Source organism: Homo sapiens, chromosome 21 (assembly GCF_000001405.40).
Source record: "Homo sapiens chromosome 21, GRCh38.p14 Primary Assembly".
In the NCBI taxonomy this organism is placed as follows: domain Eukaryota; kingdom Metazoa; phylum Chordata; class Mammalia; order Primates; family Hominidae; genus Homo; species Homo sapiens.
The window spans coordinates 37,734,481-37,749,292 of record NC_000021.9 but is presented as its reverse complement, the minus strand read 5'-3'; the positions used below and the strand labels follow the sequence as shown (position 1 = coordinate 37,749,292).

Below are 14,812 nucleotides of genomic sequence, written 5' to 3'. Positions count from 1 at the left end.
TACGGGCAAACACCCGGCTTCCTCGAAGTGATGCCAGTGCTACTTCCTTCTGCCCCCTCTGAGCAAAGATGCCCTCGAGACCAGCTAGAAGGAAGTTTGCATACCTGTGGCTGTTACCCCACCTGTCACCTGAAAATGACCCCATGCCCCAGCTCAGAAGTTAGAAATTGACCTATACTGCCTAAAATTAGTGTCTCCCATCAAAAAGTGTGCATGCATAGGTGTGTTTATTATATATAAATATGCACATTGTACACAGATACATACACACATGCATACACATATACATCTAGATGAAATGTGAGCGTTAAATATCTACTGCCTACTCCAGGTTGATAGCTCTATACCTATTAAGACAGCACAGTGCAAAGACCACTCTGGAATGCCTCATATGTAGGTCTCTCCCACGGTTTTGTTCCTGGACTCTTCCCTTGTCATTGCAGCTTCCTGGGCTCCCGAGTTTTGCGGGGATAAAACCTCCGTAGGGCAACTCAGACCCCACTAGGTTTGTCCTTTGTGCTACAAAGCCAAGTATGAATTTGCATAAAGTGAACAAAAAGTAAATTGCAAGCTCCTGGAGCAGCTGTCAAACCTCCACAAAGCCTGTTGGGAATTTAGAGCCAAGGGGAGAAGCGGAAGACCCAGGCAGTTACTGGAAGAACCTGTGGCTTTGAAGCGTTCCACTAAGACTGGGGCTTTTGCTTATGAAGTCTTCCACTTCCTATCACCAGAATCCTTCATATTGCCACATTCCCACTACCACAAAACCAAGCTCTGAGTCAATGGAAAACACTGTTAAGACTTCTAGAGATGGATTCCTAACATCCATTTCTGAACTCTTCTCTCCTCCCATCCACGAACCATGGATCCCAGTCCTCACCCACCCACTCCTACCCTGTTCCAAACACAACTGAAAACTCATCTCTTTTATGAGCTTGCTCTGACAAGTGCAGTTCTGCGGCAATTAACATATTCTTTTAGAAAAATCTTGATGAGCAGAGCAGCTGTGAATCTGCTCACCACCCTCAGGTGCAAGATACATCACAACCCTTAATTTTCCTAGATCCAATTAAACTGGCTCTGAGCACCTGCTGTCCAGGGTTGGAAGTGTTCACGTATCCACCATTATTGAGGGACACCACCCGTACCTGGGGTTGTATAAATGGCCCTAGAAACTTACACTGTCCATAAAACGTGTGGAGGGGTTTCTGGTCTTGCTTCTGACTAAGTCTGCACAACACATTACAAGTCACAAGCCTGTGGGTACATTTCCTCTATATCCAGGAAAGCCATGAGACCATCACTGGGTCTCCAAGGTCTCAGCCCTGTGACTCAGTCTCCAGGCACCCCCATATTACCCTGTGTTAGTTTCCTTATGCAGCTGGAACAAACTACGATAAACTTGGAGGCTTAAACAACACAAATGTATCTGGCAAGTCTGCGGGTTAGAAGTCTAACTCAGGTCTCACTGGGTTAAAATTGTTTTCAGCAGGACTGCATTACTGCTGCACCTTCCAGGGGAGAATCTGTTTCCTTGCCTTTCCATCTTCCAGAGGCCGCCCACAATCCTTGTCTCATGGCCCCCTCCTCCCCCCTCAAAGCCAGCACCATGGGCTGAGTCCTTCTCACATTGCCATCTCTCTCGTTCTCCCTCTCCTGCCTCCCTCTCCCACTTAAAAGGACTCTTGTGATGACACTGGGCTTCCCGGATAATCCAGGATAATCTCCCCAGTTGAAGGTCAGCTGATTAGCAACCTTAACTCCAACTGCAACCTCGATTTTTCTTTGTATAGTGGAACATATTCACAGATTCTGTATATCAGAAAACCCAGCTCACTTCTGCAGGTCTTAGGGGCCCCTCCCTTTCCCTAGTAAGGCCTTTGCCAGCTTTTCCTAATAAAAATCCCAAAGCTTCATCCCTTTGGAGCAATCCAGTGCTTTGCCTACCACAGCCAAGGCTTTGGGAAACCAAAGACCTTTAAAGAACCTCCTCTAAGGCAAGGCATAAATCCCTTCTGGCAAGACACAAATCCCCTTCTGGCCCTCTCCAAAGGGGGCAAAGAAAACAACTGCCCCTTTTGGGGTGGGAAAAAACAGATCATTTCTCAGTCATCCTTCCTACACTTGTGTCTTTGTGTCTGCTGAACCCTGGCAGGGCGTCTTTTCCTCTGCCTCCATTCCCCTTCCTCTCTTCATGCATGTGTGGGCCTGGGACCACATCCTGTACTTCTGGAAGCTTCCAGCAGGGCTCACACAGTGCTCTGCACACACATTCAAGTGTTCCACTGATCTTGCACCTTATGAACAAGGCTCCAAAAGTCAGCAAAAATATCAGCGAATATAAGGCTTTGCCATCAATTCTAGTAGCTGGAGCACTTAAAACTTTTGCTTGGGATTTATTTGGATGGAATGCTAGAGCTCAAAAGAAAAAATCCACTGAGCAGTCAGAGTGGATAAAGGACAATTTACAGAGTATGTAGAAGTTATAGACTCCCATTCCAAATGGTCAGTCTTAAAGGATCTGAAATTACCTATTCATTTATTCAAGAAAAATTTCTTTAGCTCTTGTTATGTGCCAGGCACTGTCTCAGTGCTGGGTTTAAGGTCGCAGGAGACGTCATGTTGTCTTTTTCTTTTCCACTGTTTAATCAGAGGGGAATTACTCAGAGTCAAGTGAGTATCATGGAGAATACCAGCTTTAGAGGTCAAACACCCTAGGCAAGTTATGGAACTTTCCAGAAACTCCTCTCCCCTATCTTAACAATGGTGATAAAAACGACATTTGTTCACAGCCTTTTGGAGAAGACTGAATTGTATACAGAGCACACTCAGTAAACACCCTCACCTCCCTTCCCCTCTGCCTCAGAGATAGGCCCAAAGCAACCCCAGATCACCAGACAGCTGGAAGAATGAAGGAAGTGGGCTCTCTTGCAACCTCATGATTTGTTACTCTGTTCCCCAGATCTGGATTATCCCTGGGCCTTTGATTTGCTACCTAAGGACTGCCACTCCTGCTTTCCTTAACCCGCTCCCACCTCACCCAAGACAGTTAGTCCACCATCTCCCCATTCCCATCTGCTATGGACTGAGTTATGTTCCCCATAAATTCATATGTTGACATCCTAATCCACCATGTGATGGCATTTGGGAGTTGGGGACTTTGAGAGGTAATTGGATCCTAAGGGTAGGGCCCTCAGGATGGAGTCAGCACCCTTATAAGAGAGATCACAGATAGAGTTTGCTGTCTGCCATGTGGGCGTGAATAGGTGGCCTCCTGCAAGCCAGGAAGAGAGCCCTCATTAGGAACAGAACCGGCCGGCACCTTGAGCTTGGGTTTCCCAGCCTTCAGAACTGTGAGAAACAAAAGTTTGTTATTTAAGCCACCAGTTGGTGGTACTTTGTCACGGCTGCCCCAGCGAACACACCGTGATCCTGGAATTGCCTCCGCTGCCCTAGTGGGACGTGTGTGCTCCTGTGTTTTCTTCAAGGCTGTGAGACTTGAGGGCAGGGGCTGCATCTTTATTCACCCCTGTACCCAGCTCTTAGCACAGGATCTGGCACATAGCAGGTGTTCAGTGTGTATAAATTGAATTGAACGGGAATCTGCCTACTCCTGTTTTGTTTACCTTTGCTGCCGTAACAAATTACTGAAAATTGATTGGACTAATATCACAAATGCATTGACTTAAGATCCTAGAGGTCAGAAGTCCAACAGGAGTCTCACTGGGCTAAAGCCAAGGTGTCATCAGGGCTGTGTTCCTTTCTGGAAGCTCTGGGGGAATCCACTTCCTTTCCTTTCCCAGATTCTACAGGCCACCTGCACTCCTTGGCTCATGGTCCCCTTCCCACATCTTCAAAACCAGCAACCATGGCCAGGCATGATGTCTCACCTCTGTAATCCCAGCATTTGGGGAGGCCAAGGGAGGAGGATTCACTTGCACTGAGGAGTCTGAGACCAGCCTGGGCAACAGAGTAATACCTCATCTCTGCAATAAATATAGAAATAAATAAATAAATAATACATAACAAAACTAGCTGACTATGGTGGTGCACACCTGTGGTCCCAGCTACTCAGAAGGCTGAGGCAGGAGTATCACTTGAGCCTGGGAGGTCAAGGGGCTGCCGTGAGCCCTAATTGCACCACCAAACTCTAGCCTGGGCCACAGCAAGACCCTGTCTGTCAAAAAAAAAAAAAAAAAAAAAAAAAAAAAAAAAAAAAACCAGCAACGTTGGGCTAAGTCCTTCTTATGCTACTATCTCCCTGGTTCCCTCTCTTCTGCTGTCTCCCTCTTCCACTTTTCAGGACCTAGGATAATCTTCCAGCTGACTGACAACCTCCATTCCATCTGGAAGTATAATTTCTCCTTGACATGTAACATGCATATCCACAGTTCCCGGGATCAGGATGTGGGCCTCGTTGGGGCCATTATTCTGCCTACTATATGCCATATAAAGAGGTTTGAAAATAACCTCCATCCTAATTTGTGATTCCTGCAACTCAGTGAAATCCTTACACACCCCCCACTGTTGCCTTCCCTATGACACATACTCCAAATAAGCCTGGTCTCTAGACTTGAATATCTCAGGAACATCTGAAAAACATTGCATAGGAGATAAATTACCAGGCCTGCCAAGCTTCAGTTATTGCTCTCTGATCCTTAGTTCAGCAACTACTTAATCTCCACTTCTCTTACTTGAATTATTACCATCAGTGAAAGATGGTGTTTGGGGACAGGCTGTGGAATAAGGATTCTGCCAGTTTTGTTGCCCTTTTCTCCTCCTCCCAAGAGGACATGGCTTGGTGGGTTGGAAATCCCAGAGGAGACCCGTTCCTAACCTGAGCTTTTCTCTGTCTGGACCTCTCATTCTTTCTGTTTCCAGGGCATTCCAAATCATGTGCATTCCTTCCCAGTCACCTCTCAGCTTATCTCATCTGGAAAAATAGACACCTATACTATCCATTTTTTTTATTTTATTATTATTATACTTTAAGTTTTAGGGTACATGTGCACAATGTGCAGGTTTGTTACATATGTATACATGTGCCATGTTGGTGTGCTGCACCCATTAACTCGTCATTTAGCATTAGGTATATCTCCTAATGCTATCCCTCCCCCCTCCCCCCACCCCACAACAGTCCCCGGTGTGTGATGTTCCTCTTCCTGTGTCCATGTGTTCTCATTGTTCAATTCCCACCTATGAGTGAGAACATGCGGTGTTTGGTTTTTTGTCCTTGCGATATACTATCCATTATTGATAGAGTAGTGTGGCTCCCTTACTGATTTGGGGAAGAGTGAATTTTTCTCCAAAAAGTTCAAAGCATTTTCATGAATATAACATTTCACTCCCCACAAAAATCTTCGTGGGATTATAAATAGGAGGTATGATAATGGAGGCAAAGTGTGTAGAAGTATTATTGACCATATTAAAAAGTAATCGCTGAGGGGTTTTTTTAATGGTGTAAGTGGTTTCCCCATGGAAAGTAGGTGTTTGTATCTCTGTCTAGTACTGTCATAGTCTTTGTTTTTTTAGCTTCTGTAACAGAATACCGCATATTGGGTAATTTATAATGAACAGAAATTTATTTCTCACAATTCTGGAGGCTGCAAGTCTAAGATGGAGGGGCTAGCATCTGGAGAGGGCCTTCTTGCTGCATCATTTCATGACAGAAGGTGGAAGGGTAAGAGAGGGTGAGAGGGAAGAAAGTAAGAGAGGGGCCAAACTCATTCTCTTATGAGGAGCCCACTCTCTCAATAGCAGCATTAATCCATCCGTGAGGGGGGAGCCCTCGTGGCCTAATCACCTCTTAAATGTTCCACCTCTTAGTACCATCACAGTGGCAATTAAATTTCACATGAGTTGTGGAGAAGACAAACATTCAAACCATGGCAGGTACCCAAACAGCAAGCTGACATACAATCAGGGCATCTACAGATATATATGTATCACACACACACATATACACACGCATACACATGCACACACATACATACATATGATTGCATCCACCCAGCACCTCATTTATTCAGGCAATGTCTCCTGAGCCTCCACTATGTCTCAGGTACCATCACAGACACTGGGCTGGGGACAAAATGAGTAAAGCATAGTTGCTTACCTTGAAGATTGAGGGTCTGTCAGGGAAGAGACATGAAAGCCAGCCACTGTCATCCTGTGGGCTAAGTGCTGTCCCAGAGGCAGGCACTGGGTGGTGAGGACAGAAACTAAACATATTGGGAGCTCTCTGGCAGGCTTCCAGGGAAGGGCAAGTCTGAGCTGACTCCTGAGGATTTCGCTAGTCTATGGGGGCTGAGGAAGAGCCTGGGAGACAACAGAGGCAACATGTGGGCACACATCTGCAGGAAGGAGCACAGTCCTTAGAGAATCCTGAGTTCCCCCAAGTGCAGAGAAGAGATGGAAGGTTTGGAAGAAGAGGACACATCATCAGTGGCCCAGAGAGCCTTGCTGGGAGCCTGGACTTGATGAGCAACCACTGAACAATTTAAAGCAGGACAGGAACTGATGGAATCTGAATTAGAGAGAGCCCAATCTGAAGCTCTGTGAGAAATGAAGTGGATGTTGGCAAGACTGGAACAGTGATCTAGATATGGTGACTGCCACAGCAACCCCAGTGAAAACTGATGAGAGGGCTACAGAACGCTTTGTAGAGGATGGCCACTCATGTATGAATGTGTCAATGCACAGAGAGATCTCTGAAAAGATGTTCCTGGAAATGTCAACAATGGTTACCTCTGCTGGCAGGATACAAGGTGTTTTTCTTTTTAATATTTTTCTGGGTTAATTAAAATGTTCTACATGAGTATATACCATCTTTATAATCCAGAACAACAACAACAAAAAAAACAGTTAATTAAAAACTGACCCTGAGATTGAATACAGAAATGGACAGTGGCCAACCACATATAAAAATAGCACTTGGACCCACAGCCTGCAGCCACCTGCCCAGGAAACCAACTGCTTTTCTACAATAAACAACCCAGGAAGCCAGCCTGTTGTAAGTCAGCCTTGCAAGAAACCAGTGACACTCCAGAAAGCTAAACAATAACTTCTGTAACAATTGGCCCAAATGACCAGGACTTGGTTAATAACCAAATTTCCCTGATTTTTGCTCCTACTTCCAACTTAAGGCCAATTGGTAAAAGTCAAATATGCCCCCTCACCAATCACACAGGATGTCCATTTCTAGGTAGCTCACCTGCAGCTTCCCCATGATGACAGTTTCCATCAGGGCATGCCTGAGGCCTTCCCCCTTTTCCAACATGAAGCTTTCTCACTCCCCTGCCTGCCTTTGGGCCGTTACCAAATGCACGTGATGGTCCCTTACTACAGCACGTGTGAATAAATAGCCTCTGTTTTCCTCACTTGGTTGATTTTCACTTATTTCCACAACCCAAAGAGTTCTGGTGCTTTGGGGACAGCAAAGAGGGACCATGAGGAAAGGCTTTTAGGAAAAGGAAGCCACAGGACTTGGCATCTGTTGGCAGTGGGGTGAAAGATGGAGACACAAAGATGCCTCTGGGTGCTGGCTTGGTATCCTGGGCTGGCGTTGGTGCCATGCACAGAGCCCTGCACAGGAGGGGCCACATGGAAAAGGTCTGAGCTGGGGCCTTGCAGAAAAGAAGGAACAATCATCAGGTGATGAGGATGCTTAGAAAAGGAACTCTGTGGAGGCATGGGCAAGGCTAGTCACCAAGAAGGAAAGGAGAGGAACCCAGGGCTGGCAACATCTAGAGCCATCACAACCCTGAGTCTAAAGGGGCCAAGGGAGGAAACCAGACAGAGCTGCAGGAGAGAGGACCACTGAGTGGGACTATGGTTGTAGGAAGAGGAACACAGCCCATTTCAACTCAACCCATCTTAATAGAAAGGTTCCATTCTCCTCCTACTCTTTGATCTCCCACCAGAACCTCTCATGAGCCAAGCCCAACAGGAAGCCAGAGGACATGAGAGACCAGGTACATCCAGAAAGGTCATTCTCCTGGGCTGCAGAGAGAGTCCAGAGGGTGTGGGGGGACTCTTCAGGGACAGATGGAGAATATCTAGTCCAGACAGCATGGGGATAACAATCTCTGTCTTGAAAAAATGTTTATTTTGAGGTTCTTACAGGAAATCCATGTGGAAATATCTTGCAAGCAAGTCAATATGACAGCAAAGAAATTGAGGGAAAGAAAGATCTGACCTGGAGAGCTAGATGAGGAAGTCATCTACATATAGGGAGCGCTTCATCCACAGGAGACCTTTCCCCAAGAAACAGTGAGGGATGAGAAGAAAAAGAGGCTGAAGACAAACCATGGGGTACCCCCAACATTCAAGGGGACAGACAGAAGAGGAAGTCAGGAAAAGTCACTGAGAAGGAGAATTGGTCAGAGATCTAAAGGCAAAAGCTGGAGTGTTTATCAGATTTGCAGTCATGCTTTTTAGCAGCAAAGTCTACTAGTCAATTAGGCAAAGATCTAAACCTAAAGGCATAGGCTCAAACCAAAGCCAAATCATGCTATTCAAGTTTATGGTCCTTGAGCCTCCAGGAACAGGGGAATGGCAGAAGAATGTCAATGAAAAGAGTCAAACTCTGTAAAATATTTGAAGAGATTTATTCTGAGCCAAATATGAGTGACACAGCCCTCAGGAGGTCCTGAGAACATGTATGTGCCCAAGGTGGTCAGGGTGCAGCTTGGTTTGATACATTTTAGGGAGACATGAGACTTCAATCAAATACATTTCAGAAATACATTGGTTCAGTCCAGAAAGGCGGGACAACTCAAAGGAGGGGGGTTGTTAGTTCCAGTTTATAGGTAGATTTAGAATGTTTTCTAGTCGACAATGGGTTGAGTTTATCTAAAGACCTGGGATCAATAGAAAGGTAATGTCTAGGTTGCGATAAGAGATGTGGAGACCAAAGTTTTATCATGCAGCTGAAGCCTCCAGGTTGCAGGCTTCAGAGAGAGTAGATTGTAACCGATTCTTATCAGACTTCGGGTCTGTGTTGATGTTAATGCCAGAGAGGTATAATAAGGCGTGTCCAATCCCCACTTACCATAATGGCCTGAACCAGTCTCTCAGGTTAAATTTTAGGAGAGCCCTGGCCAAGGAAGAAGTCCACTCAGATGGTTGGGGGGCGTTCAAATTTTGTTTTTGGTTTACAAGAGCTACTGGTTTGTAGTAGTGCTGGGCACAGCATTTGCACTTCCTTGGGCACACGTTTTAAAATAGTCCCAGTGAGCTTCCTCCACAAGCCACACTGGAGTCATGGGCTTAGCAGGAAAGAACAGGGAGACTGGCAATGTTGCCACAGGTGCTTCAAAGCTGGGACCATGATTCATTTCTTCAGCCCTGGATAACAACACCTGATCTTTTTTTTTTTCAAACCTAAAGAATTGTTCATGAACCAAAATTTTTAAATAAATAAATAAAATGAATATTTACCCAAGCCAATGGTACACTGCCCTCTCCCAGTTCACTTTTCCCATTTGTAAATGCCCGTTTTTCCAGGAGCTTTTCTCCCTCTCTCCCTCCTCACCCCATCATGCATGGCATCAACATAAGATACTGTCAATGTCAAGCTTCTCCAATCAGGCACAAATTGGGTTATTAGTGGTGTGCAGAAAGCTGACACGAGCTTGCATAGCACTCAAAAAAATGAAAAACAATTGAACCAGCGGGCTAAAGTAGCCACAGCTCCCAAACTAGGAGGGAACATATTTACACACGTTTATCAGCAATTCCCCAACCATTTTTTGATTAGTTGTGTTCAATACCCCTTATTATATCACATTATGAACTCTTATTAATTTTTTCCCAATTACAGAGCCCTCAGCTCCTTCCACATCAAAAGGTTAAACCCCCCTAATAAGCAGCCCTTTTCTTCTGACTTAAGCCAACCAAGGGACTGCCTTTTGCATCAATTTTATTCCCAACATGCTAAGAGCTGGCGTTCCTCAGTACTGGATGTTCTGTAACAGCCCTGCCCAGTGGAAATATAATGCCAGCCACCTGCATAATCTTAAATTCTATAATATGAACCTTTGAAAGGAAAAAAGAAATAGGTGAAATTAAAATAATGATATATTTTATTTCACCCACTATATCCAGATATTAAAAGCTCAACATGTAATTGGTATGACAATTATTAATGGGATAGTTTACTTTTACATTATTACTCTTCAAAAATCCCCTGTGTGTTTAACACTTACTGCACATCTCTATTCAGACCAGGCAAATTTCAGGCTGGTAGCTGCTGTATTGGCCAGCACAGGTCTGCAAGAGACAAGCAGCTTTCTCTCTTCTCCTCTGGTGACTGACACAGGATTCTCTCTGCCGAAGTTACTCATTTTTTCCAGATAACCTTACCCTTCAGCCCATCCAAAGAGGAATTTGCAGATTAAAGAGGATGTTTTTGTTTGTATGTATCAAAAAGTTATTAGGGAGTATTGGTGCTAGAAGGAGAATTATCCAGCACTTAATCCATCTTACTGTGTTTTCAACAGCATTATCCAAGTCAATGCAGGGCCCATTAAAAACAAACACACAAACCAAATCTCTTCTGGTCCAGCTGAGAATATGTTTAAAGAACATTTCTTGGGGCTCAGGGAAAGGGGTATAAATAGAAATGTTAGCACTAAGACTGGGAGCACCAGCATCTTTGAATTTATGATATGAGCCAAAAGTTTGCAAAACTGGGTAAAACATGACTTCTCAAGGACACATCATTCGCAAATGTTGAGTTCTGCAGGCAAGGCAAAGTCGAGACAAGAGTGCAGATTTCTACTTTTCCCTAAAAAAGAGCAGATGTGATTACTTTAGTGTATGTACTTGCGTTGAGAATTCAGTCAAGTAACTTTAAAGAAATCAAATAAACCTTTGCTGGAGAAGGCAAGAATAATTCAGGGGAGGCACAGCAAAGCACACAGGCTTTGCCAATGGGCCCCAGGGGGGAGAAGCATGGAAGCAGGAGAAAATGTAATTTTAAAAGGACTATATCCCAAGTGCATGAAACCCAAACAGCATTGCAGTAGACAAGCCACAGGGCAGGGAAGTACAGGCCGTTTGTAATCTATGAGCTATTAATAAGTCATCCCCAGGAGACACAGAACACCAAATGGGGAACCATAGTTGGCCCCCAGGGCTGCCTGTCTCCATGGCCCATGCTGGCTGTCTGTGTGAGCCGAGACTCAAAAGTGCTCAAAATCTCACTGTTAAAAAAGAGTGTGAGCATTAAACAAATACAGCCCTGGAAAGTATGAGAAACCACTGTCCTGAAACCCATCATTCCACCTTGGCTTCCTGGAGAGCTGGCCAGGTGCAGAGCATGGTTTGACCCCAGGGAGAAGCCCAGAGTTTTCATGCTGTCTACCAAAAAGGCATCTCAATGGCAAATCCTTCTATCTCCTTCCAAGTTCATTCACTGTGGCCTTAAAATATACTCTACAAACATAGAACCAGAATGTCTTTGGGTTCCTAGACGGGGCCACTGCAGGGTTATACAAGATCATCGGGCAGGAATCTGCCCCCTTCTGTGCAGCAACTGTCCCAAACCAGAGTACATGGCTTGGTGAGCAGAGAATCAGCAGGGAGACTTTGTGACTCAGACTCTGTCCCCAGAAACCCTGTCCCCAGACACCACTCAGGCCTCACCCTAAATAGACTATGACTGGGCAGAAGGGAATCAAGTCCTCTTTCCGGATATTTTCCTTCCAGGATGGAAGACTTGACTGCAGATCAATTATGATCAGAGCTGCCTAAAGATATCGCAAGGTTATTGCTAGGAAAACTTTTCCTTTTAGCAAGATGATCCTGGAAAAATAAACAAACAAACGCCAACAGAGAAATCGCCCTCTTGACTTTCGTTCTGCTTCACTTTACAAATGCAGCTAATTTTGCAAGAGAAACACTGCCACCCAAGCTGAGAGAAAAAGGAAAATGCAAATATTTCCACTGTCTGATGAAAATCCACCAAGTAGTTCAGGTTAAAGTAGGAATCACCTCAAGGAATAAATGACTGATAAGCACAAATCCAGTTTACTTCTGGCCACTCTGACCCCTAATGAGACGTACTCCTGTAGCACATATACCCAGAGAGAGGCAATATGAAACAGGTCTTCTCTTGCCATCGGGCACTGATGCACAGTGAGGACCTCAGAGAAAAAACAAGCTGTGCTGTGTAAAGAAGCTCTGCAGATCCCCCCGTAACATATCAGTACAACACAGGAAAAGAACATCACACAATAAAAGAGAAAGTCCAATCTCACAAAAGGAAAAGCATCGTGCCCCCAACGTAATTTGTTAGGAAACTCATGTCAGGAGAAAAATCACATTGTCCCCCAGTCAACTGCAACAGCCCAGCGCAGCAACTCGTGTCTAAGTTGCATAAAAGTATTATTAAGGACGGTGCCTCCAGGAGGGTGACCGTGAAATGCTGAAGTCAGTTGGAGCTCATAGGCATTCATCACAGTCACCAGGTATTAATGGCTTGCCAGATGTTCCAACCTGGCCTCAAGCATGGTTGTCAGCGCTGCAGGCTGCAGAGGTGAACAGTACCTTAACAGGGCTGGGATGTAGGCTGCCCAGGCTCATGGAGGAGTCCCCTGCATTGTGCCTCCCTCTCTCCATCTCCCCATCGGGACACTGGCCCTGGATGGACATGCCACCATGCTTTATCTCTCAGATGTCTACCCTGCACACCCCTGGTTCTCAGGCTTAGGCAGATGAAGACACATGACCTTCCAGAGGTGTTGGACTTCTAGAGTTTTACCATCAAAAGCAACTTCTCTTTTCTCAGGTGAAATTAACCATTTACAAGAGTGCATTTCAGAGGCATTTAGTACATTGATGATGTTGTGCAGCCAACAACTCCATCATGTTCCAAAACATTCTCATTACCCCAAAAGGAAAGCCCATGCTCATAAAGCAGTGACTCCCAACTCCAAAACAGTGTTTAAGAGGATGTCTTATTTCATTCCAAAAAAATGTCTCCTACCCCACCCCACCCTCACCCCCAGACTCAGACCAGTTTTAAGCCACAAAAGAACCCTGAGTTCCCCTGGCAGGGATTTGTGTTTTATTGGTCTTTGCATCCCCAGGGCCTAGCACAGGGCTCGGTACACAGGAGGTGCCTGGTAGAAGTTATGGGACCAAAATGGCAGAGATGGGGCTCCAAGCCTGTGCTTGAGCCATCAGGTATGTACGTTTCAGCTCATCTGTTTTGAGCCAAGCCCCTAGGCTGCACTTTACTATAGACTCCACCTGAAGTTCACCCAAGTCTGTGCTACCGAAAAAGTCAGAGCCCGGAGGGGGAGAATTCTCCATTATTCTCAGAGTGCTGACCCCATGTGCTTCCCAATGGCTCATCCCATAGATGGGGCTCCATACCCCAGGCTCTCTTCCCTTAGGAAACCTTTCAAGGAAGGCCGTTTGATTGTGTTTCTTTCTCCCCTAATAATTCTCCCCAGCTCTGCCCCAGCTGCCACTGCCACTGCCACAGCTGCCGTAGAGGTGGGAGCTGTGCCTTCAGCATCCTCCAAGTGGCTGCTCCAGGCCTCATTCAGAGCAGGTGTCCCTGTGTCCTCTGCCTCCAGCTGTGGGTTTCCACCAAGCAAAGTCACAGGCTTTACACACCCCTTCCTCCCACAGCCCATACACATCACTCTCAAGGGAAGGTCAGGGGGCTTGCATGGAGTCTATGGGGTGGAGCCCAATGTGGATACTACACTGGCCCTGGCCCCGACCTCCCTAGTTGCCAAGTCATCATTCACCAAGCTGAGAGCTTCAGTGAGAAGGGCTGGAGGAGGGATAAATGCAGAACACATTCAGAGCCTACAGTGCTGAGGTTTGGGGGCTTCCTGGCAGCTGGAGGAGCAGCACCGCACTCGAATATGGAATGATTCCATTTGCAAACCCATAGGGAAAAACTGGAGTGGGTGAAGGTGAAAGCGCCGTGGGTGGTCTGTAGGTAATCCCAGCCTCAGGCTGTCCCCGTTTCTGGTGATAGGATTCTATTTTAGAACCTTTACTTTCATCTTACCCTCTGAGTCTAGCAACAGAGTCTAAGCTAACCTCCCATTGTGTCAGAGAATCTTCCTCTGTTTGGGTAATATGTCACTCTCCTTTTTGCTTGTTGCTGGTTGACTGAGTCATGTCTCTTTCTACTGAGGCAAGGGGAAGGGAGCGGGAGTCGGTGCACGCTGAGGACAATAGGGGATGCTGACAGTGAATGCTTGGGCTGACAGCTTTGGGCTGTGTCAGGTGGAAACGGGGACATGCTGGGCTGGCCCTGAGCGAATCGTGAAGAAGGCATAGTGGGGGTGTGCCCATCTCCAACGTTCCTGTCATTCATTCCAGGAGCCGCCAAACCAAATATCAAATACGTTCCACAGAACCAAGATGTGCGTAGGTTATCCTAAGCTCAAATGAGTTTGGGAAAGCACATTTAAGCAATTATATATATCAATCATAGGATTTCTCAGAGCCCTTAATAGGCTCACTTGTTCTAGAACTCTCCAAGAGGGAGACAGAGTGGGCAACCTTTCCCAAACCTGCATCCCTTTATTTCCCTTCCATGTCACCCCCTCCTTCCCACCACCTTCCAGCAAAATAGGATCCCTTCACCCCCACTGCAAGGATGTAGGACTTGTTTCAGTGGAGGTGCTGCAGTGAGCTCGTATCAGCTCATGACAGCTGATCGTTAAATAGCGGGAATGTTGTGAGCTGGTCAACAGGTGATAGTTTGCAGTCAGCCATGGTGGGAGCTTGTACACCACAAAAATTGACAAATGCTACAAATTGAGGCTTTTTGTTAAGA

General features: G+C 45.9%; 1 protein-coding gene and 1 long non-coding RNA gene across 2 annotated transcripts in view; one reads left to right on the top strand and one right to left on the bottom strand.

Annotated features, from left to right (window-relative positions):
• Positions 1-14,812, top strand: part of KCNJ6 (potassium inwardly rectifying channel subfamily J member 6) — a 309,085-nt gene that overhangs the window by 167,165 nt on the left and 127,108 nt on the right. The window lies entirely within an intron of this gene.
• The window catches only part of KCNJ6-AS1 (KCNJ6 antisense RNA 1), a 222,067-nt gene continuing 215,845 nt past the window's right edge, over positions 8,591-14,812 (bottom strand). Inside the window, exon 8 of the long non-coding RNA NR_183540.1 lies at positions 8,591-10,789. This is a non-coding gene — a long non-coding RNA (KCNJ6 antisense RNA 1). The remainder of the gene's footprint in view (positions 10,790-14,812) is intronic.